Genomic DNA, 26,249 nt, shown 5'->3' with positions numbered 1-26,249 from the left:
CCATGCCCAGCTGATTTTTTGTATTTTTAGTAGAGACGGGGTTTCCCCGCGTTAGTCAGGATGGTCTCCATCTCCTGACCTCGTGATCCTCCGGCCTTGACCTCCCAAAGTGCTGCGATTACAGACGTGAGCCACTGCGCTCGGATGAACGCAGGGGTTTTTATTTATTTTATTTTATTTTTTAAGATATTTATTTATTTGTTTATTTTTTGAGACAGAGTCTCACTCTTTCACCCGGGCTGGAGTGCAGTGGCGTGATCTCGGCTCACTGCAAGCTCCGCCTCCCGGGTTCACGCCATTTTGCTGCCTCAGCCTCCCGAGTAGCTGGGACTACAGGTGCCCGCCACCACGCCCGGCTAATTTTTTGTATTTTTAGTAGAGATAGGGTTTCACTGTGTTAGCCAGGATGGTCTCCATCTCCTGACCTCATGATCTACCCGCCTCAGCCTGCCAAAGTGCTGGGATTACAGGCGTGAGCCACCGCGCCCGGCCAAAGCGGTTTTTAAAGGGAGGATTTGGAAGGCAAAAGAGGCAGGGGGACTGGGAGGTGTCAGGTGGTGTGACCCCCTCCAGTGGCTTGTCCTGAATTATTTTTCCATCTGTGGAAGTGGCCGGCGTCATCATGGCTGGAGGAGGTGCATGGTTCGTATCAGGATCTGACTACTGAAGCTTCTAAGGAAATATGTGACCAGATAAGTGAGTATGGTGTGTGCTTACCAAACAACTAGGTAAATAAATGTGCATAAGGCATGGGGGCATAGAACAGGAAAAGAAAGGGGGTGGAGGTTCACAGCACATTCCAAGGCTGGATTTCAAGAGGAGAGGAAACACGTCTATACTTTGTCTAAGTTACATCTTCAGATTAGCAGAAGAGAGGAAAGGGGAAAGGAAAAAAAGTTTTAAAATGCGGTTTGAGGTTAGGCTGCTAAGCTGCTGGGTTACAGATTCAGCTTATATTTGAGCATGTGGAGTATGTATATTTATTTTAAAAATCTAGAGCATCTTGGTCAGCCACAGTGGCTCATGCCTGTAATCCCAGCACTTTGGGAGGCTGAGGCGGCTGGACCATGAGGTCAGGAGTTCAAGACCAGCCTGGCCAAGATGGTGAAACCCCGTCTCTACGAAAAATACCAAAATTAACTGGGCGCAGTGGCGGGTGCCTGTAGTCCCAGCTACTTGGGAGGCTGAGGCAGGAGGATTGCTTGAACCTGGGAGGCGGAGGTTGCAGTGAGCCAAGATCGCACCACTGTACTCCAGCCTGGGCAACAGAGTGAGTGAGACTCCCATCTCAAAAAAAAAAAAAAAAAAAAAAAATCTAGAGTGTCTTGTACATATCCTTTAATAACCTACTTTTAAAAACTTAATATATTTTAGATACATATGTATATGTGTACCTACTTACATCCTTAAAACTGACGTGATGATAAATAAAACCGCGGAATTTCTATCAATATGTAAATGCTCTTCTCAGAAAAGGCGGGCTCTTTGCTCCTGTGGTTGATGGGGATGATGCAGATGGTGGCAGAGGCTTCCATTTTTTGAGCATTCGTTGTGGGACCTGCCAGTGCTTCAAGCTCAATACACCTTCTCCCATTTAACCCTCACAGCTCAGGAGGGGGTCCTGCCGGGACCTCCACTGCAGACAGGAAAAGAGGAGAAAGTTGGTATCTTCTGAATTCTTTTGGCAAAAGGAGAAGGGAAGAGGGTTCCTGTGCAGGGCATGCAGGAAGGCAGGAGTATGGAAAAGGGGGAAGGGACAGTGTGTAATGCCCTCCCTGCTGAGCCACATGGTTGGAATGGAGCATCACAGCAGAGATGGCAGAGCCAGAAACCCTAGGATCCGGTGTCAGAGGGACACAGGGCCCAGCTGCCAATGTGTGGCCCAGAGCAGTGGAGGACACCTTGGTTATGCCCTGGCACACAGCTTTCTACTGTCCTGGCATCTAAGCCCTGGGGACTGGGGCAGTGGGGTCAGTGCCCTCAGCTGGACACAGACACGTGGAGCAGAACTTGAAAAAGATGGGCCCCTGAGCCCATAGGACCCAGAGACCCAGCACCCAGGGAGGCCTGGGGAGGGAGAAGGACGCCCTCAGCTAGCACATGGGGGCTTGAGGTCCAGATAACTGTTAAGGTACCTCATCTGATCTCCCCACAGGGGACACCCGGCACATGCAGGCCTCCTTCCTGACTTCTCTGCCAACCTTTTCCCCAGCCTTAAAACTTTCTCTTCCCGATGTCATTGTGACACTTCTTCAGTTCTCCTTCTAGTCCACTAGATGCTGCTGTGCACCCACCTAAGCACCACCATTTCTAATTCCTGGGATCCTAGTTTGGGAAAGACAGGGGAGCTGGTCAGCCGTTCGGATTTCCCAGTGGGTAGAATGGAGACTGCAGCCTTTGCCAGGGCTCTTCTCCACTGTGGTAGTGATTTTAACTCCAGTAGCTGTAACTTGCTGAGCACTCAGCACCTGCTGAGCTCTTTGCACAGATTGGCTCCTGTAACCCCCACAGGCCCCTGTGACATAAGTTTTCAATACCCAACATACTAGGAAACAGGGTCTCAGAGAGATGATATCACCTGCTCAGGGTCACACAGCACATACCTGGACAGGCTATGATTCCACAAAGGTTTTTGTCTAAGTCCAAATGCCAGGGACATAATATTGTCCTGTTGCTCATAGAAGTTGCTATTTAATGAGCTCCTATTATGCAGACTTTATTCCTTCAATATAAGATTTACTTACATTGTGAAATATACAACTACTTAGTACTTAATACTTATATTGATAAGATTTACTTCTCTTTATTAATATGATTATCAAATCTAAGGGTTTAATCTTTCATTCTGTTTAAAATTTAACACTGCTTCTTTTGTAATTGCTGCTTTTGATATGATAATAATTCTTACTGTTTGGTGCATTTATGATATACACTGTGTTATCGAATGTATTCCAGTAAGAGTAGGCTACCAACACAGTTCTGTTGGCCAACTGAGCACTATAGCTTGTTCATTAAGAGAAATAGGCCGGGCACAGTGACTCAACGCCTGTAATCCCAGCACTTTGGGAGGCCAATGCAGGTGGATCACGAGGTCAGGAGTAAGAGACCAGCCTGGCCAACATGGTGAAACCCCGTCTCTACTAACGATACAAAAATTAGCCGGGCATGAGGAAGGAGAATTGCTTGAACCGGGGAGGTGGAGGTTGCAGTGAGCCAAAATCATGCCATTGCACTCCAGCCTGGGCGACAGGGCAAGACTCTGTCTCCAAAAAAAAAAGAGGGCAAGAGAGAGAAATAGTCTTCAATCCTGAATCTTTTGGGCCTGAAAATTGGAAATAAAAAATTATAGAATAGCAACTTTTGAAATGTTGGTTATGAAGGACAAGAAAACCTCACACATCCACTGTCTCCATTATTTTCTAAAAGAAAGGCCATCTTAATGTAACTGAACACAAGTCTGGCTGCTCACCAGTCAGGATCCAAAATGCAAGAAGTGAAGTGTGCTGAAAGGAAAGTAACTTTCTTTTTTTTTTTTTTTTTTGAGATGGAGTCTTGCACTGTCGCCCAGGCTGGAGTGCAGTGGTGTGATCTTGGCTCACAAAAGCTCCTCCTCCCAGGTTCACGCCATTCTCCTGCCTCAGCCTCCCAAGTAGCTGGGACTACAGGCGCCCGCCACCATGCCTGGCTAACTTTTTTTCTTTTTCTATTTTTGTGTTTTTAGTAGAGACGGGGTTTCATCGTGGTAGCCAGGATGGTCTCGATCTCCTGACCTCATGATTCGCTCGCCTCAGCCTCCCAAAGTGTTGGGATTACAGGCATCAGCCACCGCGCCCGGCCGGAAAGTAACTTTCTTTAAATGTTAGCAGCTAGGAAATGACCAGGCTCATGCCTCCAAGAGACCATTTTAAGTTTTAGGGCTGAGTGAAAGGGTTTAAAAAGGGAAACTTGGCATGGGGAGCACGCAGGGGTGGTGAAGGGTACAGGGTCTATGTGTCTTCTCCCGGTGGCTATTTTGAGTTATTGTCCCCCTGGAGCACAGGTGGGTGCCATCATGTCTGGCTGAGGTGTAGCTTATCCTCCTCGAGACCATCCCCCTAGGTAGGGGAGAATTCTGTAGCTGGGTCTTCATGCTTGGTTTATTTTTCTTTCTTTCTTTTTATTTATTTATTATTATTATTTTTTTGAGATGGAGTCTCTCTCCATCACCCAAGCTGGAATGCAGTGGTGCGATCTTGGCTCACTGCAACCTCCACCCCTTGGGTTCAAGCAATTCTCCTGCCTCAGCCTCCCTAGTAGCTGGTATTACAGGTGCCTGCCACCATGCCCGGCTAATTTTTGTTTTTTTTTTTTTTTTTTTAGTAGAGACGGGGTTTCACCATGTCGGCCAGGCTGGTCTCGAACTCCTGACCTCAGGTGATCCACCCGCCTCAGCTTCCCAAAGTGCTGAGATTACAGGCATGAGCCACTGTGCCTGGCCATGCTTGGTTTATTTTCAAATTAGCCTCCCCTGGAATTTCTAAAAAGGCACATAATTAGATAAGCTACCATGGTACAAGGAGTGTCTGGGGGGAAGAGAGTGAAAAAAAGGGTTTCAAATACATTTCAAGGCTAAGGCTACAAAAATTAAAATAAAAATAGTTAAAAATGTATTTTGAAGCTGAGCTGCTCAGTCATATTAACGCCTAAAGAGTAAGAAGGACATACTTCAGAAAAACCTATGGCTCTGTCCAGGCAGGGACAGTTGATGTCGTCATACTGACACTTTTACTATGGAAAACTGACGGGTTTGAGTCTTGCCTTCAATACTTGCTAGCTGTGTGACCTTGGGTAAGCGGGTTCATCCCTCTGTGCTTCACTGCCCCCTTCACAAAGCTGTTACGATGAAATGCTTTGATCTACATAAAGCGCTTAGCAGGGTGGCTCAACAAGCTGCAGCAGTTAGTATACAGTTGGTTCTCTGTATCCATGGGTTCTGCATCTGTGGATTCAAACAACCAACTGAACATATACAAACACTTTTTTTTGTCATTATCCTTTAAACCAAGCTTGTCCAACCCACAGCCCCACAGGTCTCATGTGGCCCAGGACAGCTTAGAATGTGGCTTTGAATTTCGTAAACTTTCTTAAAACATTATGAGATATTTTGGGGATTTTTTTTTCTTTTAGCTCATCAGCTATCATTAGTATTGGTGTATTTATTATTATTATTATTATTATTTTTGAGACAGAGTTTTGCCGTTGTTGCCCAGGCCAGAGTGCGGTGGCACAATCTCGACTCACTGCAACCTCTCTCTCCAGGATTCAAGCGATTCTTCTGCCTCAGCCTCCCAAGTAGCTGGGATTACAGGTGTGTGCTAACATGCCCAGCTAATTTTGTTTTTTGTTTGTTTGTTTGTTTTTGTTTTTCAGACGGAGTCTCGCTCCGTCTCCCAGGCTGGAGTGCAATGGCACGATCTCGGCTCACTGCAAGCTCTGCCTCCCAGGTCCACGCCATTCTCCTGCCTCAGCCTCCCAAGTAGCTGGGACTACAGGTGCCCGCCACCACACCTGGCTAATTTTTTATATTTTTAGTAGAGAGGGGGTTTCACCATGTTAGCTAGTATGGTCTCGATCTCCTGACCTTGTGATCCACCCGCCTCGGCCTCCCAAGCTGCTGGGATTATAGGCATGAACTATGGCGCCTGGCCGTGTTAGTGTATTTTATGTGTAGCCCAAAACAATTCTTCCAATGTGGCCCGGGGAAGTCAAAAGATTGGACATTCCTGCTTTAAACAACACAACATAACAACTACTTACAAAGTATTTACATGGTATTAGGTATCATAAATAATCTAGTGATGATTTAAAGGTATACAGGAGGATGTGCATAGGATGTATACAAATACAACACCATTTTGTATCAGGGACTTGAGCATCCACAGATTTTGGTATCAGCGGTAGACTGTGGAACCAATCCCTGTGGATACCCAAGGAGGACTGTATAGTTGGCCTCGTTTTTATTAACCTAAGACAATAGCACCACCTTGCGGCTCTTTGTCCCAGGCACAGACAAGCTGAGCCCATGGAACAAAAATGAGCCTTCCACAGATGGTGAAGAGGAAACCTTGTCTCATGGCCAAGGCTGAGGCTGGAGCAGGGAGAAAAACCATATTTGTTCACATAAACATTCCAGGCTCAGACATGCTCATCTCCTTGAGAATAAAGTTTGTTTCTGAGAAACTATTGTCCAAGCTGTCAGCCCCTAGAAGAGGAACAGAAAATGAAATCTCTCTCCTTGGGCCTCCTCCACCTGCAGAGTTGCGTTCTTGGGGCAGAGAATGCTGTCTGTTCACAGTGGCTGGCAGGACAGTGAGGCTTTGGCCCTGTCACCCATAGAGGTAAGGGCTGAGGGAGACATTGCTGTCAGCCACAGACCTTCCTGCTTCTTGTTTTCCTTTGATGTCTGCAGAATGAAAAAGGGAAAACAGGCCAGGCGTGGGGGCTCACGCCTGTAATCCCAGCATTTTGGGATGCTGAGGCGGGTGGATCACGAGGTCAGGAGTTCAAGACCATCCTGGCCAAGATGGTGAAACCCTGTCCCTACTAAAAATACAAAAATTAGCCGGGCATGGTGGTGTCCTCTGTAATCCCAGCTACTTGGGAGGCTGAGGCAGGAGAATCACTTGAACTTGGGAGGTGGAGGTTGCAGTGAGCCGAGATTGTGTCACTGCACTCACTCCAGCCTGGGCAACAGAGCAAGACTCCATCTCAAGAAAAAAAAAACACAAAAAACAAACAACAACAACAAAAAACAACAACAAAAAAAGAAAAAGGGAAAACAAAATATAGGATTCTTTTTGTGATGGTCACAAAACAGTGGCAAATGTCAGCTCTGTGCAGTCCCCAATAAGAGTTTTGCACTGATGAAGCCATCAGCCATTGGAAACAGCAATTTGTCCTCAGAAAAGTAGTTGCAGGAGAGTCTATCAGACCTGACAGTGAATGTGAGCACTCTTTTTACCTTCCTTCCCCAGAGTGAGAAATGATGGACAGGAATTTTTCTTTCCTGACTCAGTTTGCAGGCTTTTGGCCTGTGAGCTTGGGGATGAACCCAGGTGAGGGGCAAAGGAGGTTGGCTCTGGGGATAGGTAGGCTTGCCTTCTAATCCCACTTCTGTCACTTGCTGACTGTGTGACCTTGGGCAAGTCACTGTCCTTTCAGTTTGAATATTATGCCTAGAGTATAATTTTTGGTATTTATCTTGCTTAGTGTTCTATGAACTTCCTGGATCTGTGATTTAATTCTGTTTTTAATTTTGGAAAATTTTCGGTCATTATTATTTCAAATACTTCTCCTGTTCCTTTCTCTCTTTCTTTCCTTATGATATTCCCATTATGCATGTTACACCTTTTATAGTTATCCCAGTTCTTGGGACGTATTCTGCTTTGTCTTTTTATTCCTTTTTCTCTTTGCCCTTTTTTTTTTTTGAGACAGAGTTTCGCCTTTGTTGCCCAGGCTGGAGTGCAATGGCTCGATCTCAGCTCACTGCAACCTCCACCTGCCAGGTTCAAGCAATTCTCCTGCCTCAGTCTCCCAAGTAGCTGGGATTACAGGCACACATCACCACACCTGGCTAATTTATTTATTTATTTATTTATTTTTTTTAGTAGAGACGGGGTTTCACCATGTTGTCCAGGCTGGTCTCGAACTCCTGACCTCAGGTTATCCGCCCACCTCAGCCTCCCAAAGTGCTGGGATTGCAGGCCTGAGTCACCCCGCCCAGCTGGCCAGGAATTTTCAAGTGCTTAGCAGGTTCAGGCTTTTCAAATCTTTAGGATATTTTCAAGATGTAGTAAACAAATAGTTACTGCTGCACCATAGACAGTGCAGAATTTTTTGAGACAGAGTCTCACTCTGTCACCCGGGCTGGAGTGCAGTGGTATGATCATAGTCCACTGCAGCCTTGAACTCCCAGGCTCAAGCGATCCTCCTGTCCTCCTGCCTCAACCTCCCAAGCACCAGGGACTACAGGTGTGCACCACCATCCTAGTTAATTTTTTAATTTTTTTTTTTTTTAGAGACGGTGTCTTGATGTTGCCCCGGCTAGTCTTGAACTACTGGGCTCAAGCAATCCTCCTGCCTCAGCCTCCCAAAGTGCTGGGATTACAGGCATGAAACTCTGTGCCTGGCCAACAGTGCACAACTGAGTCTGGAATTCAAGCTGAGAACGCATGCAGATTTCTATAGGATAATGGTGCAATTTCAAAGCAGTAAGACAAAGATTAGTTAAGAAACCGTGCCAGATAACTAACTATTTCTCTCATAATTGACAGGCATTCAATGTGTACATCAAGGATCTGGATGTAACTGTGATAAAATATTAAAGAATTGGTGATTTTTAAAAAATATCTAGGCTAGGCCAGGCGCGGTGGCTCACGCCTGTAATCCCAGCACTTTGGAAGGCTGAGGCAGGCGGATCACAAGGTCAGGAGATCAAGACCATCCTGGCTAACATGGCGAAACCCCGTCTCTACTAAAAAAAATACAAAAAAATTAGCCAGGCCTGGTGGCGGGCGCCTGTACTTCCAGCTACTCGGGAGGCTGAGGCAGGAGAATGGCGTGAACCCAGCAGACAGAGCTTGTAGTGAGCTGAGATCACGCCACTGTACTCCAGCCTGGGCAACAGAGCCAGACTCTGTCTCAAAACAAAAACAAAAACAAAACAAAACAAAACAAAAAAACAAAAAACCTAGGCTAGGCATGGTGGCTCACACCTGTAATCCCAGAAATTCGGGAGGCTGAGATGGGATGATCGCTTGAGCTCAGGAGCTCAAGACCAGCCCAGGCAACATGGTGAAACCCCGTCTCCACAAAAAATACTAAAAAATTAGCCAGGAGTAGTGGCAGCACCTGCAGTTCCAGCTACTCTGGAGGCCGAAGTGGGAGGATTTCTTGAACCCAGGAGGCTGAGGTGGGAGGGTTTCTTTTTTTTTTTTCCATTAAGTTGAAGGAATTTATTTTAAATAACCTACAGTTGACTAAAAGGGAATTCATGATAAAAATAGAGGATACTTGAGGAAAGATGTGGGAAATGGACTCTGCACACACACTAAACTAACAATGCCTCTAAAACTAATAATTATAGCAAAAAATGTCTTCACATTAAAATTCTGCTTTTTTTCCCCATTTTTTACACAACTACAAAAGAAAAAATAAAAGCCCTAAAATCTTGATTATTTTTCCTTTTTTTTTTTGGACCAAATACTCATTTTCCTCTAAATTTATTGACCTGTGGAACTTTTTATACAATAAAATCTTTCAAGTGAAAGATTAGGGTTAAAAAGAAAAAGATGGGTATCTTAAAGTACAGCGAATGCTCAGAACAAAGGATGATGGGAAAATGGTTTCAGTCACTGATTATTTCATTATCCATAGACTCACTCGCCCTTCATCCTTCCCCAACCCCAATCTACACGATCTGTAAGATCAAGAAAAAGGTTTAAATATTTTAAAATAATTAAAAAGAAATACAAATTCACATTTAAAAAGGAAGACTCAAGTCAGGAAATATTTTCCCATCATGCTTTTCTGTGAACAGGTGTCTGAACCAAAACACTGCCAAAGCTACGACTGCTTCAAGTTTAGTGAAGATTGATCCCCATGACAATAGAGTGACGACTGTAGCAGATGCGCTGGTTTTTTTGTTCTACTTAATTTTAAATTCCTGAAATGGGGGAGAGGGGAGGGAGTTTAGGAATTTATTTATATTAAAATACAGAAGTTATTGCAAAACCCCAACTGTAAGAACACACCAATATAATCGGACTTTTCATACAGTAGCTAAGAGAATCCAAACATTTCAGTGAAACAGTGAATTTGCCTGGTAGAACGCTGACAAATTCCCATCCATTTGCCCTCTTGAAAATAAAAACAAAATTCAAAACAAATCATACAGCTAGAATTTTGATATCTGAAATATTTTTAAATAAGTTGTCCACAGGACAACTGGCTCAGCTCTCCCTTATGTTATTATCTCCAGGTTTATCTTTTCTCAAAGATGTTGGTTTGTTAAGACTTGTTGCCTCTCTCCCCCAGGCACGAGGGCAAGCGAGGCTCAGTTTATCCATTTCTCCCAAACCACACTGTTCCTTTTCACAGAACCCTGCCCCTTGAGACTGGCTAAAACTTCTAGTCTTCATCAGCCATGCCAATGGCAGGCAAACTTTTCCCGCTGGGTTTTGTTGTGAATCTTCTCAATTAGGACGCCCGGAAGTGGGAGGATTTCTTGAGCCCGGGAGGTTGAGGTTGCAGTGAGTGGAGATTGCATTGTTGCACTCCAGCCTGGGCAAAAGAGAGAGATCCTGTCTCAACACACACACACACACACACACACACACACACACACACACACACGGCAAGGTCAAAAAGAATGACAGAAACCTGGAATAAATAGATGAAAAAGCAGATACAAGAGACAAGGTTTTTTATTTTATTTTTATTTAAGAACTACTGGAAAGTTTACCCATGACAGCGGATCCACCTCTAGAGATCAGTGCTTACCAGATGAGTAAGGGTGCTTCTAGGTTTGAATCCAAGGACGGTCATAGCAGCTGCATTTAGTTACACCGGCCCCAGCAGGGAGTTGGTTAAAGCTACTAAGTGGTAATGGCTGCATCCTGGGGCTCCAAGTGCACATCGTTTTGTAAGAGCACCTGGCAGGTAAATCCAGGAATGGTTAATGGTGAGGCAAGAAGGCAGGGCGAGCCAGCCCCACTCCCATCCCTGGGAGACTTCGCGGCATCTCTTGAGTCCGCCACGTGCAGCTCATCGTGGCCTCTTTCGGCCGGACGGAGGCGGCGCCAGAAGAGGCCGGGACCCCAGGGTTGAAATTGAATTGGGGCGGGGGCGACGCCTGCTTTCCTGAGTGTGCGGCACGTCTTGCGGGAGGCTGGGCTGGTCCGTGTATTTCCCCGGGCCATTTTGGTGACCGGTGCGGGGCGTGGGGCTGTGTGCCCAGAAAGGCAAGAGGATCTCCCTCTTGGAAAAGGGGCTTTGCGCCTCTGACCCCGCGGAGATCAGCGCCGGGACGCTGCGGTGTTGGGACCAAGAACCCGAGGCCACAGAGCGCCGGTGCATAGCGCACAGATCAGCCTAATTCTTGTGGACGGAGGGCAGGTGAGCTGTGGGAGCGGAGTCCAAAGGGCCGAGGCAGGAGATGGTGGGCGGAGGTCCCACTCAGGATGCGGGAGCTGAGGTTTAAGTGTGGGGTGGGAGGGTCTGGGGGCACCTGGGCTCCTTGCTGTGCTTGTGGGGATGCCTGGGAGGTGAGAAGAACCCAGTACTCAACTGACTCATACAGACAAGCGTAGTAACCCCTAGTGTCTTGTGAGTCTCTGTGTGGAAGATAACCATAGTTTCCTTAAATTTCTAGAGAAGTTTGGCCGAGCACGGTGGTTCACGCCCGTAATCGCAGCACTTTGGGAGGCTGAGGCGGGTGGATCACCTGAGGTCAGAAGTTCGCGACCAGCCTGGCCAACATGGTGAAACCCGTCTCTACTAAAAATACAAAAATTAGCCAGGCGTGGTGGCACGAGCCTGTAATCCCAGCTACTCAGGAGGCTGAGGCAGGAGAATCGCTGGAGCCCGGGAGGCGGAGGTTGCAGTGAGCCGAGATTTCCCCGCTGCACTCCAACCTGGGCAACAGAGTGAGACTCTCTCAAAATAAAAAACAAACAAACAAAACTAGCTGGGTGCGGTGGTGTGTGCCTCAGGAGGCTGAGGCAGGAGAATTGCTTGAGCCCGGGAGGCAGAGGTTGCAGTGAGCTGAGATTGCGCCACTGCACTCCAGCCTGGGTGACAGAGCAAGACTCCCTCTCAAAAAAAAAAAAAAGAAAAAAAAGTTTTACCAGGTCTCCTGTCTTTTATTATAGGATGCTTCTCTGCTGACTCGGGGGGCAGTCAGTCTTTTTGATGTGATAGGAGAATGTGTGTCGTTAGTAACCAGATGCTTTATTGGAAGTAATAGTAACGGAAAAAAAACATTACCAGGTGCTATGGTTTGGATATGGCTTGTCCCCACCAAAACTGAGGCTGAAATTTGATCCCCAATGTGGCAGCATTGGGAAGTGGGGCCTACTGGGAGGTGTTTGGGCCCTGGGGGTGGAATCCTTATGAATAGGTTAATTCCCTGCCTTGGAGGTGAGTGAGTTTGGATTAGCACCTGCCTGAGCTGGTTGTTAGAGTCCGGCCTCCTCAGTTTCTCGTTTCCCTTCTTGCCATGTGGTCTTTGTCCACATCTCTCCCCCACTTTTGCTTTTTCTACCAGGAGTTGAAGCAGCATGAGACCCTCACCAGATGGGCTGCCCAGTCTTGGACTTTCCAGCCATCAGAATGATGAGCCAAACACACCTCTTCCTTTATAAATTACCCAGCCTCAGATATTCTGTTGTAGCAACCCTAAAGAGAGTAAGACACCAGGCAACTCCACAGAGATGTCTAATATAACTGTATTCTTCAGGGTCATCACCTTCAGGACCACAATGCCTGGTAGGGCAAGGACTCGCGCCCGAGGCAGAGCCCGCCGCAGGGAGAGCTACCAACAAGAGGCACCTGGGGGACCCAGAGCACCTGGATCAGCTACAGTGAGCCCTGTAACGTTGTTTCCTTTCTGCAAGAGATATGTGCCTGTACTGAAAAGAACATAGAGTTGGTTGTTGAGCGAAGCTAGTTCAGGTATAGTGCTAAGTGAGGACTAATAAAAGTTCATAAGAAAAGTCAGGCTGTATAGATGGCAGCATGGGGAGGCTTTATCTACTCAGATGTACTCTCCACTGCTTCCTTCTCACATTTTCACATGTGCAAGCAGACTGACTTTCAGCCCAAAGTGGATGCAAAGGTTTCTAGATTTCTTGGCTTCAGCCAATGACTCCTCTTTGGAAGTGACCCAAAATGAGCAACTTCCTGAAGGTACTGGCATAGCCTGAGTTAGATAAGAGTTTCCAGCCTTGTTGAAAACTTGTTATGCCTGCCCTGTTTTGTCTTCTCTTACTGCATATCCACTTTACATTCACACAGCAGGATCCATAGTGGCGCTGCGGGGCCCCATCTGACAACCTCCAGGGGGACCATATACTGCATGGAAGTAGCACGATGCCTTCCAGGTCCACTTATTCTGCTGTTTGACTGTTGCTCCTCTCCTTCTCCTAAGCCCTCCAACCTCAATTCCTCCTCCTGGTCCTAATTCTCGGTTTTCAACATAGACTTCTGTGCCACCGAGACAGACAAAGCATCCAATGAGAGTGTCAGTGGCTCCCTCTCTTGTCCCCTCACTCATGAGCATCTGAACCCATAGTCCAGCCCCTCACTGGAGATCCTAGGGCACCATCTTTGTTCCTACCTAAAGCAAATATCTCTACTTAGCCCCTTAGCCAGTCCTCTGTCTAGGGCATGTCTCCTGCAGCTTGCCTTTCTGTCTCCCAAGTCAGCAGGTGTGTGTTCTCCTAAATCATTCCCGTCTGTCTACAGACTCACTGAGTTCACTCCCATTCATCAAGAAACCTTCCCTGGGCCCTTCCACTCTGCCAGATTCACAGGGCAGCTCTCCTCAGACTTGCCTCTTCACTTTTAGTTGGCACAGTTGAGACCTCTTTTCTCCTGTCAACTCCCTCCGCTTGGCGTTTAGGTTACCTCCTTCATCACTGACCACCCCCACTTGCTCTCCTTTGTGGAGTTCTCCTCTATGGCCTCTTGATATTGCCAAGACCCAGCCCTTGAGCCTCATCTTTTTTCTCCATATTCTCACTCCCTTGGTGAAGTTATCCAGTGTCAAAATGCTTTCTGGTGTGTGGACAGGTCCCCATATTTATCTCGTTGGCCAGAACCTCTCCTGCACCACCTAACACCCCCACGGGTGTCCGTGGACAACTCACACTCCCAACCTGCCCTCCCCAGCATGCCATACCCACCTCATCAGAAGGACTTCCATTCTTCCATTTGCTCAGGCCAAAAGTCTGTGCTTTCATCCTATCTCCATGACCTCAAGCCCTTCTCAAAAACAACCACGGGATTGTTTTCTCAAAAACTATCCAGTATCAGACAATTTCTCACCACCCCTATCCTGGCCTCTGGCCCAAACAGCTCACATCCCTTGCTATTTCCTTGTCTCTCAGCCTGTTCCCAACATGGAACCTGACAAATTAGTTCATGTCGTTCCTCTGCCTGGTATCCTGTCACAGCTTTTTTTTTTTTTTTTTTTTTTTGAGACAGAGTTTCGCTCTTGTTGCCCAGGCTGGAGTGCAATGGCGTGATCTTGGCTCACTGCAACCTCTGCCTCCTGGGTTCAAGCGATTCTCCTGCCTTAGCCTCCTGAGTAGCTGGGATTACAGGCATGTGCCACCATGCCCAGCTAAGTTTTGTATTTTTAGTAGAGACGGGGGTTTCTCCATGTTGGTCTTGAACTCCCGATCTCAGGTGATCTGGCTGCCTCGGCCTCCCAAAGTGCTGGGATTACAGGCGTGAGCCACTGCACCTGGCCTCTGTCACAGCTCTCATTTTATCAGTCAGAAGCAATTTCCTTAAAATGACCTCCTTCCCTTCATCTCACTGACATCTCTCACCCTCTTCTTCCAGCCACACTGGCTGCCTCATTCTTCCTTGAACGTTCCCAACTGCAGAACTCTGCTCTTTTTCTTCCACTGCTGGCTTGGGTAACTTTGCTAATTCACTCAGTACCTCCAAGTCTTGGGTTCTGTGTCACTTTCTCACTGAGGCCCGCTTTTGCCCCCATCAGCTAGTGAAACCTGCCCCTTCACACCCTACCTTCCCAGTAATTCCTGATTCTCCTCGGTTTGTTTTGTCCTTTTTTTGTTTTTTTCCTTAGCAATTACCACACAAGGTGCTATGTATGTTGCTTATTACAACTTAGTTTATGTCACTGGAATGTGAGCTTTTCAGAGGAAGTTCCTTTGCCTTGTGCCCTGCGAGTGCCATTTGGAGGGAGAATGAACACAGTAGGGCACTGCTCATTATTTCTATTTCCAAAAACATGCAGACCCAGGAGCCCCCTCAGTTGCAGTCGACACCCCGGCCGCTGCAGGAGGAAGTCCCAGTGGTTAGACCTCTGCAGCCAAGAGCAGCAAGAGGAGGAGCAGGAGGAGGAGCACAGTCTCAAGGTGAAAGGAAGCAAGAAGGACATGAGGGGCAGGGGATGCTTCATGTGTGAAGGGCTACCACAGCGGTAGAAGGTTCTAGATAGCCTCAGGACTCCCGTGAGGTTTGGTGGGATGGGAAGTGTGTGCAGCTTGCAACTGTCTCTCTTTGTGCAGTGAATTATCTGATGGTGTTTTCTTCACCTTGTGTCTTAACTTGTGGAAGGGAGATGGAGGTCACTGTTTATTGGCCAGTTCAACATAATTGCTTTTCAAATTTAGATGACACATCTGCAGATGATAACTCTAAGTTAACTTAATGGAATTCTAAGAACACCATTTTCTTTCCTCTTTAAATTGTGGCATTAACAGGTTGAACCTGTTACCTACATTGCAGGCTGACAGGTTATCCTCGTTTATACAGCACTCATGCACACAGGCTCAGATATTGTCATTTGCTAAGGTTTCGGCTAATGTGATCCAACTTCAGTCTGGATTCTCCTCTTTGCTTTCTATAGCAAAATAGCTTGTGATGAGTCAAAACTTGAAACACTAAAAAAGAATTGTATTATAGATAAATATTAACAAATGGTTACAAAATCCAGAACCTATAAAATGAGCTTATACATTTGAATAAATTAAAACACATTTTTAATAATCAGATCCTATCTGAAGGGTTGTTATTAAATAGTATGTGTAAATTACATGGACTGGGTGCAGTGGCTCACATCAGCACTTTGGGAGGCCCGGGTGGGTGGATCACTTGAGGCCAGAAGTTCAAGACCAGATTGGCCAACATGGCAAAATCCCATCTTTACCAAAAATATACAAATTAGCTGGGCATGGTGGTATGCGCCTGTAGTCCCAGCTACTAGGGAGGCTGAGGCAGGAGAATCACTTGAACCCAGGAGGCAGAGGTTCCAGTGAGCTGAGACAGTGCCACTGCACTGCAGCCTGGGTGACAGTTAGACTCCGTCTGAAAAGATAAAAGTATGTGGTTTGTAGCGAGTGCCAAGGTGCCAAGCTAGGATACCTGTTTTCTTTTGCTGACATTTTAATATGATGAATTTGATTGCTGGATGTGTCAGGAACTAGTTGGGAGTTTGATAAAATTGTTTCAAATTTTATGTGTAAAATGTAGTTAGTCTGTCACAGAAATGGAGACACTTACTTTGTAAGATCATCATAAACTAAAAACTAGACTCCAGAAGTAAAATTTTGAGGCAAACCATTATTGTAACCCAAGGCACAGACGTCTTGGCCATTTAGGTGTACGGGATTTACAATAACGTGTGCGTATTCCTTCAGGATGCCTCTCGTCACTGAAAGACCGCATTGTGCTGTCATTTAAATGTTAACTTTGTAGAATAGCTACATCGATATGAACCTTAGAATGTAAGTTGAAATAGTGAGTGTGATCCTTTCCTAGTTGCTCTTAATAGAAAGGATAGATCAGTTTTGTATTAAAAGCCAGTTTTATAGATTTTTTAAATGATTGGCTTATTTGGCATTTTATGATGCCCACTAGGGGGCAGCATAGCGCCAGGAGATAGGCTTAAAGACAGAACCAAAGTTTCTAGAATCTTGTACCATGAACAAATACCCAAAGAAATGGGGCACATATGTAGCAGGAATGAATAAAGTGCCAAGGCAACCACGGATGTGAACTGGGGACTCCTTGGGAAAGGTTTCTGGGTAAGGTTACGCTTTTGCGGCAACATATCACGGAAATGTGTTTTGGAACCTTGGGTGGCATCTTTTCTACCTCTAACAAACTTATGCTGGGTGTTAATGCTGTCTTTTCTATTCTTCCCTTTTTATTGTTTAAACTTCTGGCGTTTACATTTATGCAGGGGTGAAGGAACCTGGACCTGAGGCTGGGTTGCATACAGCGCCCTTGCAGGAGAGAAGGATTGGTGGAGTTTTTCAAGACCTGGTGGTGAACACCAGGCAAGATATGAAGCATGTTAAAGACTCAAAAACAGGTATGTTGGTCTAGAACTCAATGTTTATGGAGCTGTTCGTTTTTAACTTTTTTTTTTTTTTTTTCATTGAGAGACAAGGTCCTGCTCTGTCGCCCAGGCTGGAGTACAGTGATGCTCACTTTAGCCTCAAACTCCTGGGCTCAGCTGATCCTGAGCTGATCCCAGCTCAAGTAGCTGGGACTACAGGTGGGCACCACCATGCCCGAATGTGTGTGTGTGTGTGTGTGTGTGTGTGTGTGTGTGTGTGTAATATATACATATTTTATATATGTGTGTGTGTGTGTGTGTGTGTATGTAAATTTTGTAGAGACACGGTCTTGCTGGTCTAGAACTGGCCCAAGCCATCCTTACACCTGGGCCTTCCAAACTGCTGAGATTACAGGAATGAGCTACCACACCTGGCCCATTTTAAACTTTCGATAAAAACTTTAATAGATTCTGGAAAGCTTCTGTCATCACTGTAAGTAGAGGTGCCTCCCACCTTGCCCAAGCTGGTCTGGAACTCCTGGCCCAAACCATCCTCCCACCTGGGCCTCCCAAAGGGCTGGGATTATAGGTGTGAGCCACTGTGCCCTGGCCTGCAGTGAGACTTTTTTTAAAATTAAATATTATTACATAGGGTGGCGCTTTCTCTCCTTTTGGAAACCACAAATGTTCTAATTTTCAATCTATTCAGTATCTTAAACTTCCTAAATGTATGCTTGCATAAGGGCTCATTGAATTGATAGGCATTCTGGACATCAGGTGCATTACAAATGTCATTTATCTCCTTGTCTGACCTAACTTTGGCTTTTCTTTTCTTTTCTTTTTTTTTTTTTTTTTTTTTTTGAGACGGAGTTTAGCTCTTGTTGTCCAGGCTGGAGGGCAATAGTATGATCTCAGCTCACTGCAACCTCTGCCTCCTGGGTTCAAGTGATTCTCCTGTCTCAGCCTTCCGAGTAGCTGGGATTATAGGCACCTGCCACTGTGCCCAGCTAACTTTTTGTATTTTTAGTAGATATGGGGTCACCATGTTGGCCAGGCAGGTCTGGAACTCCTGATGTCAGGTGATCCACCCGCCTTGGCCTCCCAGAGTGCTGGGATTAGAGGCGTGAGCCACCGTGCCCAGCCCTAACTTTGGCTTTTAATATTGTAGTGTCCAAACTGTTTGTTTTGGGCCCAATCAGTCTGTTTCTTTATTGTCATGTGGCTCCATTTTTCAGGTTCAGAGGGTACAGTGGTACAGCTACTCGCCAACCACTTCCGAGTGATATCTCGTCCTCAGTGGGTTGCATATAAATACAACGTTGACTACAAACCAGACATAGAAGATGGAAATCTCCGTACAATTTTACTTGATCAACATAGAAGGAAATTTGGAGAGCGCCATATATTTGATGGAAACTCTTTATTATTATCTCGGCCACTAAAAGAGCGGGTTAAGTAATGTTGTTTCACATTTTCCTGTGTTCTTTCTCTTGTTTTCACTTTATTATAATAAAACACCTATTGTTTTTGTGCAGTTGTTTGTTGAGACATCCCAAGGCTCTCTTGCCCATATGACTTGTTGTGAAACCTATGTGCCATGTTCGGTTATCACTGATATTCAATAATGCCTCTGATTTTAATGCTTAAATGAAATTTAATAATACAATGTGGCTCAAAAATGCTGACAAAGTTTGGATACTTTTTTTTTTATTCTATTTGTTTCCTTTGAAACTTCAGCCCCCCACTCCTAGCAGAAAACAAGTTAGAGAACTTATTTTCTTCTTTAAATTTTTATATTAACTGAACAATTAAATTGCTTTCAGGAGCTTAAGTAAAATATTTCGACTTAAATATTTAATTCCAACTCTTCACTCTTGTGAATCATGTTTTCCACACGCACGTACTTTTGTGGGAAAGACTGCTCCATCACGATGGTGTGTTGGATAGCCAGGTGACATGGTGATTTGCCGTGCAATGAAGTTTAGTTTTTTGGAAGAATATCTGGACTTTTTTTTTTGTTTTTTTTTAATCTCAGAGAGTGGAATGGTTGAGCACAACCAAAGACAAAAACATCGTGAAGATTACAGTTGAGTTTTCCAAAGAACTCACGCCCACGTCGCCAGATTGCCTACGCTATTACAACATTCTCTTTAGAAGGTATGTTACCGGGGTTGAGTTTCTTTGATACTCATTCGGTTGTTTTACTGTGTAGTGGTGTGGAATACAGCCATTTGCTTCTAGCACTTAGTGTTCTTCCTAGTCCTCATGTATTAAGAGAGTGAAGGGTCTTGGAGATGAAATGATACTTGAGGCTCAACTGGAATATGCAAGTTCAGTGGCTTATCCTCAATGTTCTTCTCCTGGCCGATGCCCGTTCTTTGTCTCATACCTGCCTAGAAAGAGTAATAGACATCAGCTGTGCACATCTGTGTATGTCTCTGTAGCAAATGCATTTTTTATTCTGTGGTCACTACAATGACAAAATATTGAAAGTTAAAATTTGAAAGGCAGAGTTTGAGGCCGGGCGTGGTGGCTCACGCCTGTAATCCCAGCACTTTGGGAGGCTGAGGCGGGTGGATCATTTGAGGTTAGGAGTTCCAGACCAGCTTGGCCAACATGGTGAAACCCCTCCTCTACTAAAAATACAAAAATTAGCCAGGCATGGTGGCAGGTGCCTGTGGTTTCAGCTACTTGAAAGGCTGAGGCGGGAGAATCACTTGGTCCCAGGAGGTGGAGGTTTCAGTGAGCAGAGATTGTGCCACCACACTCCAGCCTGGGCAACAGAGCGAGACTCTGTCTCCAAAAAAAGACAGTTTGAAAAAGAGACCTTAGTTCAGTTTTGAGAATGAAGAACATTTTGGTAACCTTTCTACAATATTATGTTTATAAGGAGATGGAACAAATGAGGTTAAATGAACCTTAATATCCACCTCATCATGTAACTTAGTTAACAAGTACTTTGTGTTCATTGATAATATAAACAGTCATTGACAGATTTTTTTTCCCTTATGTGTCTTACCAAATGCTTAATAATGTACCCTGTACTTTCAACAAAATCTATTCTTTCCATTTCCAGAACTTTCAAGCTGCTGGATTTTGAACAAGTTGGTCGCAACTATTATACCAAAAAGAAGGCCATTCAGTTATACCGTCATGGGTTTGTATAAAGTAGAAAATTTCACACTCTGCAGACTTAAACGTAGGATTTTTTGAGAAAGTTATTCATTTCATATTTGAAGTGGTATGCCTTAAAAGTGATGGCCTTTTAAATGGTATCCACTGACCATGAACAATTTAGTGTAATGTCAACTCAGTAAGAGTTACTTTAAAAATCTTAGCATGACAAATATAAACGTTTGAGATATTCAGTTGTTGCACACACATTAAGAAGCCTAAACAATCATCCAAAATGTATAATTTGTCTTTGAAAATATCTTCAATCATAGCAACTATATATATTACTCACTGGTATATGTGTATATTAAACATAAGTTATGTTACAGATAAATATGGATATGACACTTTAAGCCTGTGGGTGACAAAACATAGTTGAACAAAAATAGCACATCTGATAAATGTTTATCTGAAGGTCCTTCAAAAGACTAAGAATAAATACTTAAAACTGACTCCTAAGTACCAATTTTTAGACCCAGAGCTTAGGCTTGGAAACCCTTGGCTTTATGTGAAGAGATCGGACTAATACTCTCATGTAATTTATTCTAGTACCAGTTTGGAAATCTGGCTTGGTTATGTTACTTCTGTTCTTCAATACGAAAACAGCATTACCCTCTGTGCCGATGTGAGCCACAAACTGCTCCGAATAGAAACTGCTTATGATTTCATAAAGAGAACATCTGCCCAGGCCCAGACAGGAAACATCCGAGAGGAAGTAACTAATAAATTAATTGGATCAATTGTTCTGACAAAGTAAGTCTGTCTTTTAAAAACCTATCCAATCACTTTAACTCCCCCTTCCCCCACCCCAAGAGATGGTCCTATAGTTTTCTAATCACTAAATGTTGAAGTTGAGGAGTAGAAATTGCAAGAACAACTGAACACGTCTCTCCTCTGGTTATACAACTTGGGAGAAGAATGTGTCAATTGTAGACTTCACTCTTCTTGAAATCCCTAATGCCAGTCCATTTGTTCTGAACCCTACCTTGCACATAACACTAAGCTGTTTCTGAATTTCTTTCCTTTTGCTCTTTTGTGGGCATTTAGCTGGTTTAAAAATCAGTGCTTAGTTATAACCCATCAGCAATTTCCCATTTGAAGGAAGTTTTAAAATCTTTCTACAGCAGAAACCTTAAATTGGTAAGAGAATGGATTTAAAGAACCAGTTACTTAGCCAACACAACCTTACAGGGACACAATTTGAGGACTCACACTTCTCAATTTTAAAACTTACCAGAAAGTTCTGGTAATCAAGACAGTGTGATGTTGGTCTAAAGACAGACAGAGACCAATGAAATAGAGTACAGAAGGTTAACCCTCCACTTCGTCAGCTGACTTCTGACAAGTGTGTCAAGGCAATTCAATAGGGGAAAGAATAGTCTTTTCAATAATGTTGCTGGGACAACTGAACATCCACCTGCTTCTTCCTCATGCAATTCACACAATTCCAGTTTAACTCAAAAACCAACTCAATAGACCTAGATGTAAGAACTAAAAGCATAACATTCTTAGAAAATATAGGACTGAATCTTTTTGACTTTGAGCTAGGGAAACCTTAGATAAGCCACTCAAAGCAGAAGTGATAACAAAAGAAACATAGATACATTGGGCTTCACCAAATTAAAAACTTATTCAAACTATACTATCAAAATTGTGAAAACACAACTGGAAAAACTGGGGAAAATGTTTGCAAATCACATAAGTAACCTGTATCTAGAATATACAAACAATACTTGAGAGACAACATAATTTTTAAAATGGACAAAAGATCTGATTAGATACTTCTCCAGATATATTTCTTAAAATGTACAAATGATCAATAGATGCGTGAAAACGTTTAACATCAGTAGCCATCATGGAAATGCAAGTGAAAACCACAATGAGATATCATTTCACACCCACTAGGATGGTTAAAATTAGATATTGACAAGTGTTGGCAAGGATGTGGAAAGATCAGAAGCAACTCTCTCGTATGCTGCTTGTAGGAATATTAAATGGTATGGCTTCTTTGTAAAACAGTCTGGCACTTTCTTAAAATGCTAACGATATGCATTACTGAAGTGGCCTCGTTTGAGGAAATATATGAGGTTTGTCTCACACTAAGGAAAACAAAGACATAGACCCACAAAGTGTGGGTTTAGGAGCGGAAAGCTGAATAGGTGAAAGAAGAGAAAAGTGCCCCCTTGCAGGGGGAGGGGCATTCCGAATGAATCTCCTGCTTTGCAGAGGGATGCAGTTGGTTTTATAGAGGGGCTTGAGGAGGTGGTGTCTGATTTACGTAGGGCCCAGAGGATTGGTTGGACCAGGTGTGCCATTTACATAGCCTGCGAAGAGGCTGGCCATCCCACCCTAATCTTTCATTATGCAGATGTGATCTCCATCTGGTGGGCGGGCACCATAACACCTGCACACATGGCAGGGACAAGGAGAAGGGAAGAGAACCTCCATGTTGGATATACTGGCTTCTGGCATAACTGCCAGCATCCAACTATGTAAGCTTCCAGCTTGCTTATCTATGTTTGCAGCTTGATTTTTTCAGGCTGCTTTTTGTTAGAAAAATGATTTGGAGGCTGCTTTTTTATTAAGAGAAAATTCCACCGAGAACTTTTACCCTTACTAACCACCTAAATTCCATTTTAACTCCTATATCATCACCATATGAACCAGAAATTTTACTCCTACTTAAATACACAAGAGAAATGAGAACATATTTATTAAAATCGGCACATAAATGTTCATAACCTTATTCATGGTAACCAAAAGTATATACAACCATAATGTCCAGCTGGTGAATGGATAAACAAAAGGTGGGATATCATACAATAGAATATTATTTGGAAATGAAAAGAATTAAGTGCCAAGACTTACTACAGCATGGATGAACCTTAAACATGATGCTAAGTGAAAGAAGCCAGTCGGGAAAGAGCACACGTTGCATGACTCAGTTTACGTGAAATGAATGAGCAAATGTGTTGAGACACGAAGTAGGCTAGTGGCTGCCTGAAGGCTGGTGGATTAGGCTAAAATGGGAAGTGACTGCCTATGGTTATGCTGCTGCTTTGTCTTGATGATTGCACAACTCTGTGGCTGTAGTAAAAACCAGGTGATCGTATGCTCAGATGGGTGAGTTGTACAGTATGTGAATTACATCTTAAGTAAATCTAATATATTCTGCAATTCCTTGCAGGATTAAAAATGTCTATTTTCTGTGTGGATGGTTCCATGTGATGAATAAGTCAAATAATACCATATTGTAATTATTCCACAGATACAACAACAAAACCTACAGAGTAGATGATATTGATTGGAAGCAGAATCCTGAAGACACATTTAACAAATCAGATGGCAGCAAAATCACCTATATAGACTACTACAGGCAGGTATGAAACTGTATTTCTTTAAATATATTTAAATTGTAAACCTTCATGTATTTCAGTTTGTGTTATTTAGCTACTTGAACATATTTGTCATATAAACATACATATTTTCCTTTTAGGGGATTATAGCTTGACTTATCTATTATCCATGCATCCACGTGCCTTGTATATAGGGTAATGTCACATAACTAGAATGGTGCCAGTGTGATCCCTTCTTTCCCTTCTTTCAGTCTTAAAAGTGGCTACTATCATACTTTTTTTTTTTTGAGTTGGAGTCTCGTTCCGTCTCCCAGGCTGGAATGCAGTGGCATGATCTCTACTCATTGCAACCTCTACCTTTCAGGTTCAAGCAATTTTCCTGCCTCAGCCTCCCAAGTAGCTGGGACTACAGGCACCTGCCACCACGCCTGGCTAATTTTTGTATTTTTAGTAGAGACGGGGTTTCACCATATTGGTCAGGCTGGCCTCGAGCTTCCGACCTCAGGTGATCCGCCTGCCTTGGCCTCCCGAAGTGCTGGGATTACAGGCATGAGCCACTGCATCCAGCCTACTACCATAGTTTTTTAAATGTGGTTGGGTTGTTTGGTAGATAATCAAATATGGGCCGGGCGCAGTGGCTCACACCTGTAATCCCAGCACTTTGGGAGGCCAAGGAGGGCGGATCACCTGAGGTCAGGAGATCGAGACCAGCCTGACCAAAACGGAGAAACCCCGTCTCTACTAAAAATACAAAATTAGCCGGGCATGGTGGCACGTGCCTGTAATCCCAGCTACTCAGGAGGCTGAAGCAGGAGAATTGCTTGGACCCGGGTGGCGGGGGTTGCAGTGAGCCAAGATCGCGCCGTTGCACTCCAGCCTGGGCAACAGGAGTGAAACTCCATCTCAAAAAAAAAAAAAAGAAAAAAAATCAAATGTGGTAAGACTTCAGATAAGAAAATATTACTTATCTAGAAATCTCAGCCCTGTAGAACTCAGTCCAAAAAGAATAAAAATGATTAACATGTAAAATGATGTCAGTTATGTGCTAATCTTGTAAGACATGGATTCCTCAATCTGAGTGTTCACTGTGAAGAAGCAGCCACTTTTGGCCAGCCAGGGCAGATGGAAAAAGGGCCTAACGGGTGAACCTATCCTGAATGTGAAACTATCCTGCTGATTCCTCAGTTGTGCTACATGACAGGTACTGGTGGCTTACAGCCCCTCTTTAAACTGTCCTCTTGACGGTTTTCAGTATGCTTTGGGAGTTTTAAAGGCAAGACTGTGGTGAGAACCTCAGATACTGTCTCACCCATTCTCATATACAATGTTAGAGTAGCTTGACGACTCCAGCGTCATGTTTGGTGGGAGTCCTGTATTTGGCCAAGTATGCTCACAAGAAAAGATCCGTGGCATATCAAAGGTAAGAGAATTTTGAGAGTATTCATAGTACACTATTAAACTTGGGGAACCTATATCACCAGCACGCCTGTGGCCCTTCATTTGTAGTCCCACACATGCACTTTTGAACCTCTGTGTGTGATGTTTCTAAGGTTTCACTGATGGTCATGCTGGTCTCTTGTTTGTTGAGCAGCAACATAAAGAAATTGTCACAGTGAAGAAACAGCCACTTTTGGTCAGCCAGGGCAGATGGAAAAAGGGCCTAACGGGTACACAACGTGAACCTATCCTGCTGATTCCTCAGCTGTGCCACATGACAGGTACTGATGGATTACAGCCCCTCTTTAAAGTCAGGTATAATTACGACTTAACGCAGGCTTTTCAGGGAATTCGAAGGGTGTCTCCTTGGTAGTAGGTTCCTCCAGCTGTTATAATTTAGTCCTCACTCAAATTCATGCTTGTTCAGCTGTATCTTTTGGATTTTTTTAAAGGTCTAACAGATGAAATATGTAAAGATTATAGCATTGTGAAAGAATTGGCTAAACATACAAGATTGAGTCCAAGAAGAAGGCATCATACATTAAAAGAATTCATCAATACTCTACAAGAGTAAGTGCTGCTTTTCTGGCTGAGTGTGTGTACATGTGCATGGTGTCCCAGTGAAGCTGATGGCATCTCAGCCCTGGCATGTCAGATTCTTCTACAAGCAAGTGACAATGGGAAGAATTTTGATGTTGGGGGACAACTCTAGTTTTTCTGTCATTGCAAGATTAGGAGGCCGGGGGGGAAGAATGAAATCAAAAGGCTATAAGTACCTATATGAACATGAAAGCAAAAACAAGATTTCTGAGTTTCAGGGAAGGTACTGCCGCATCTCAATGCTGCGGACAAGTGATGGTGAACCTTGGAATAGAAGGAAATTGCCTTGCACAAATGGCTAGCTGCTTTTACTTATTTGGTTTGATCATGTTGGCAATATTTTAATTTTCAGTAATAAAAAAGTACGAGAGTTACTTCAACTCTGGGATTTGAAATTTGATACCAATTTTTTGTCCGTCCCGGGAAGAGTTTTGAAAAACGCAAACATCGTGCAAGGCAGAAGAATGGTAAGACAGTTTCAAAATCATCATGTCATGGTGGGGTCAAATGAAGAGTAAAGCAAAAAGGAACTAACTTGAGTCTCAGTAATGACTACGACTGCTGTTCTTTTTTCAGACTGCTCATTCTTTCTATATTGAGCCAAT

The 26,249-nt window shown here is 44.2% G+C and overlaps 1 protein-coding gene and 1 pseudogene across 5 annotated transcripts in view; one reads left to right on the top strand and one right to left on the bottom strand.

Moving 5' to 3' along the window:
- The first annotated feature begins 297 nt into the window (after positions 1–297).
- Positions 298–26,249, top strand: part of PIWIL3 (piwi like RNA-mediated gene silencing 3) — a 55,687-nt gene continuing 29,735 nt past the window's right edge. For 2 of the 4 annotated variants that reach the window (NM_001255975.1, NM_001008496.3), the window contains exons 1-12: positions 298–696; positions 12,497–12,620; positions 15,029–15,149; positions 16,979–17,110; positions 18,313–18,527; positions 19,113–19,234; positions 20,154–20,234; positions 20,801–21,004; positions 23,520–23,631; positions 25,199–25,325; positions 25,497–25,614; positions 25,997–26,111. In NM_001255975.1, coding sequence (NP_001242904.1) covers positions 12,519–12,620; positions 15,029–15,149; positions 16,979–17,110; positions 18,313–18,527; positions 19,113–19,234; positions 20,154–20,234; positions 20,801–21,004; positions 23,520–23,631; positions 25,199–25,325; positions 25,497–25,614; positions 25,997–26,111 — 1,449 coding nt within the window. In that variant the 5' untranslated portion in view covers positions 298–696; positions 12,497–12,518. Of the gene's footprint in view, positions 697–5,228; positions 5,348–12,496; positions 12,712–13,056; positions 13,140–15,028; positions 15,150–16,978; positions 17,111–18,312; positions 18,528–19,112; positions 19,235–20,153; positions 20,235–20,800; positions 21,005–23,519; positions 23,632–25,198; positions 25,326–25,496; positions 25,615–25,996; positions 26,112–26,249 lie in introns of all 4 variants that reach the window. The other 2 variants (NR_045649.2, NR_045648.1) reach the window with 2 other exon arrangements.
- Positions 8,997–10,517, bottom strand: TOP1P2 (DNA topoisomerase I pseudogene 2; annotated as a pseudogene). Its single transcript, NR_001283.1, has one exon. The product of NR_001283.1 is annotated as a DNA topoisomerase I pseudogene 2 (transcript).

The sequence above is a fragment of the Homo sapiens genome, chromosome 22 (genome assembly GCF_000001405.40).
Source record: "Homo sapiens chromosome 22, GRCh38.p14 Primary Assembly".
Taxonomy (NCBI): Eukaryota; Metazoa; Chordata; class Mammalia; order Primates; family Hominidae; genus Homo; species Homo sapiens.
The sequence above is the reverse complement of the archived record's forward strand: the minus strand, read 5'-3'. Positions and strand labels throughout refer to the sequence as shown.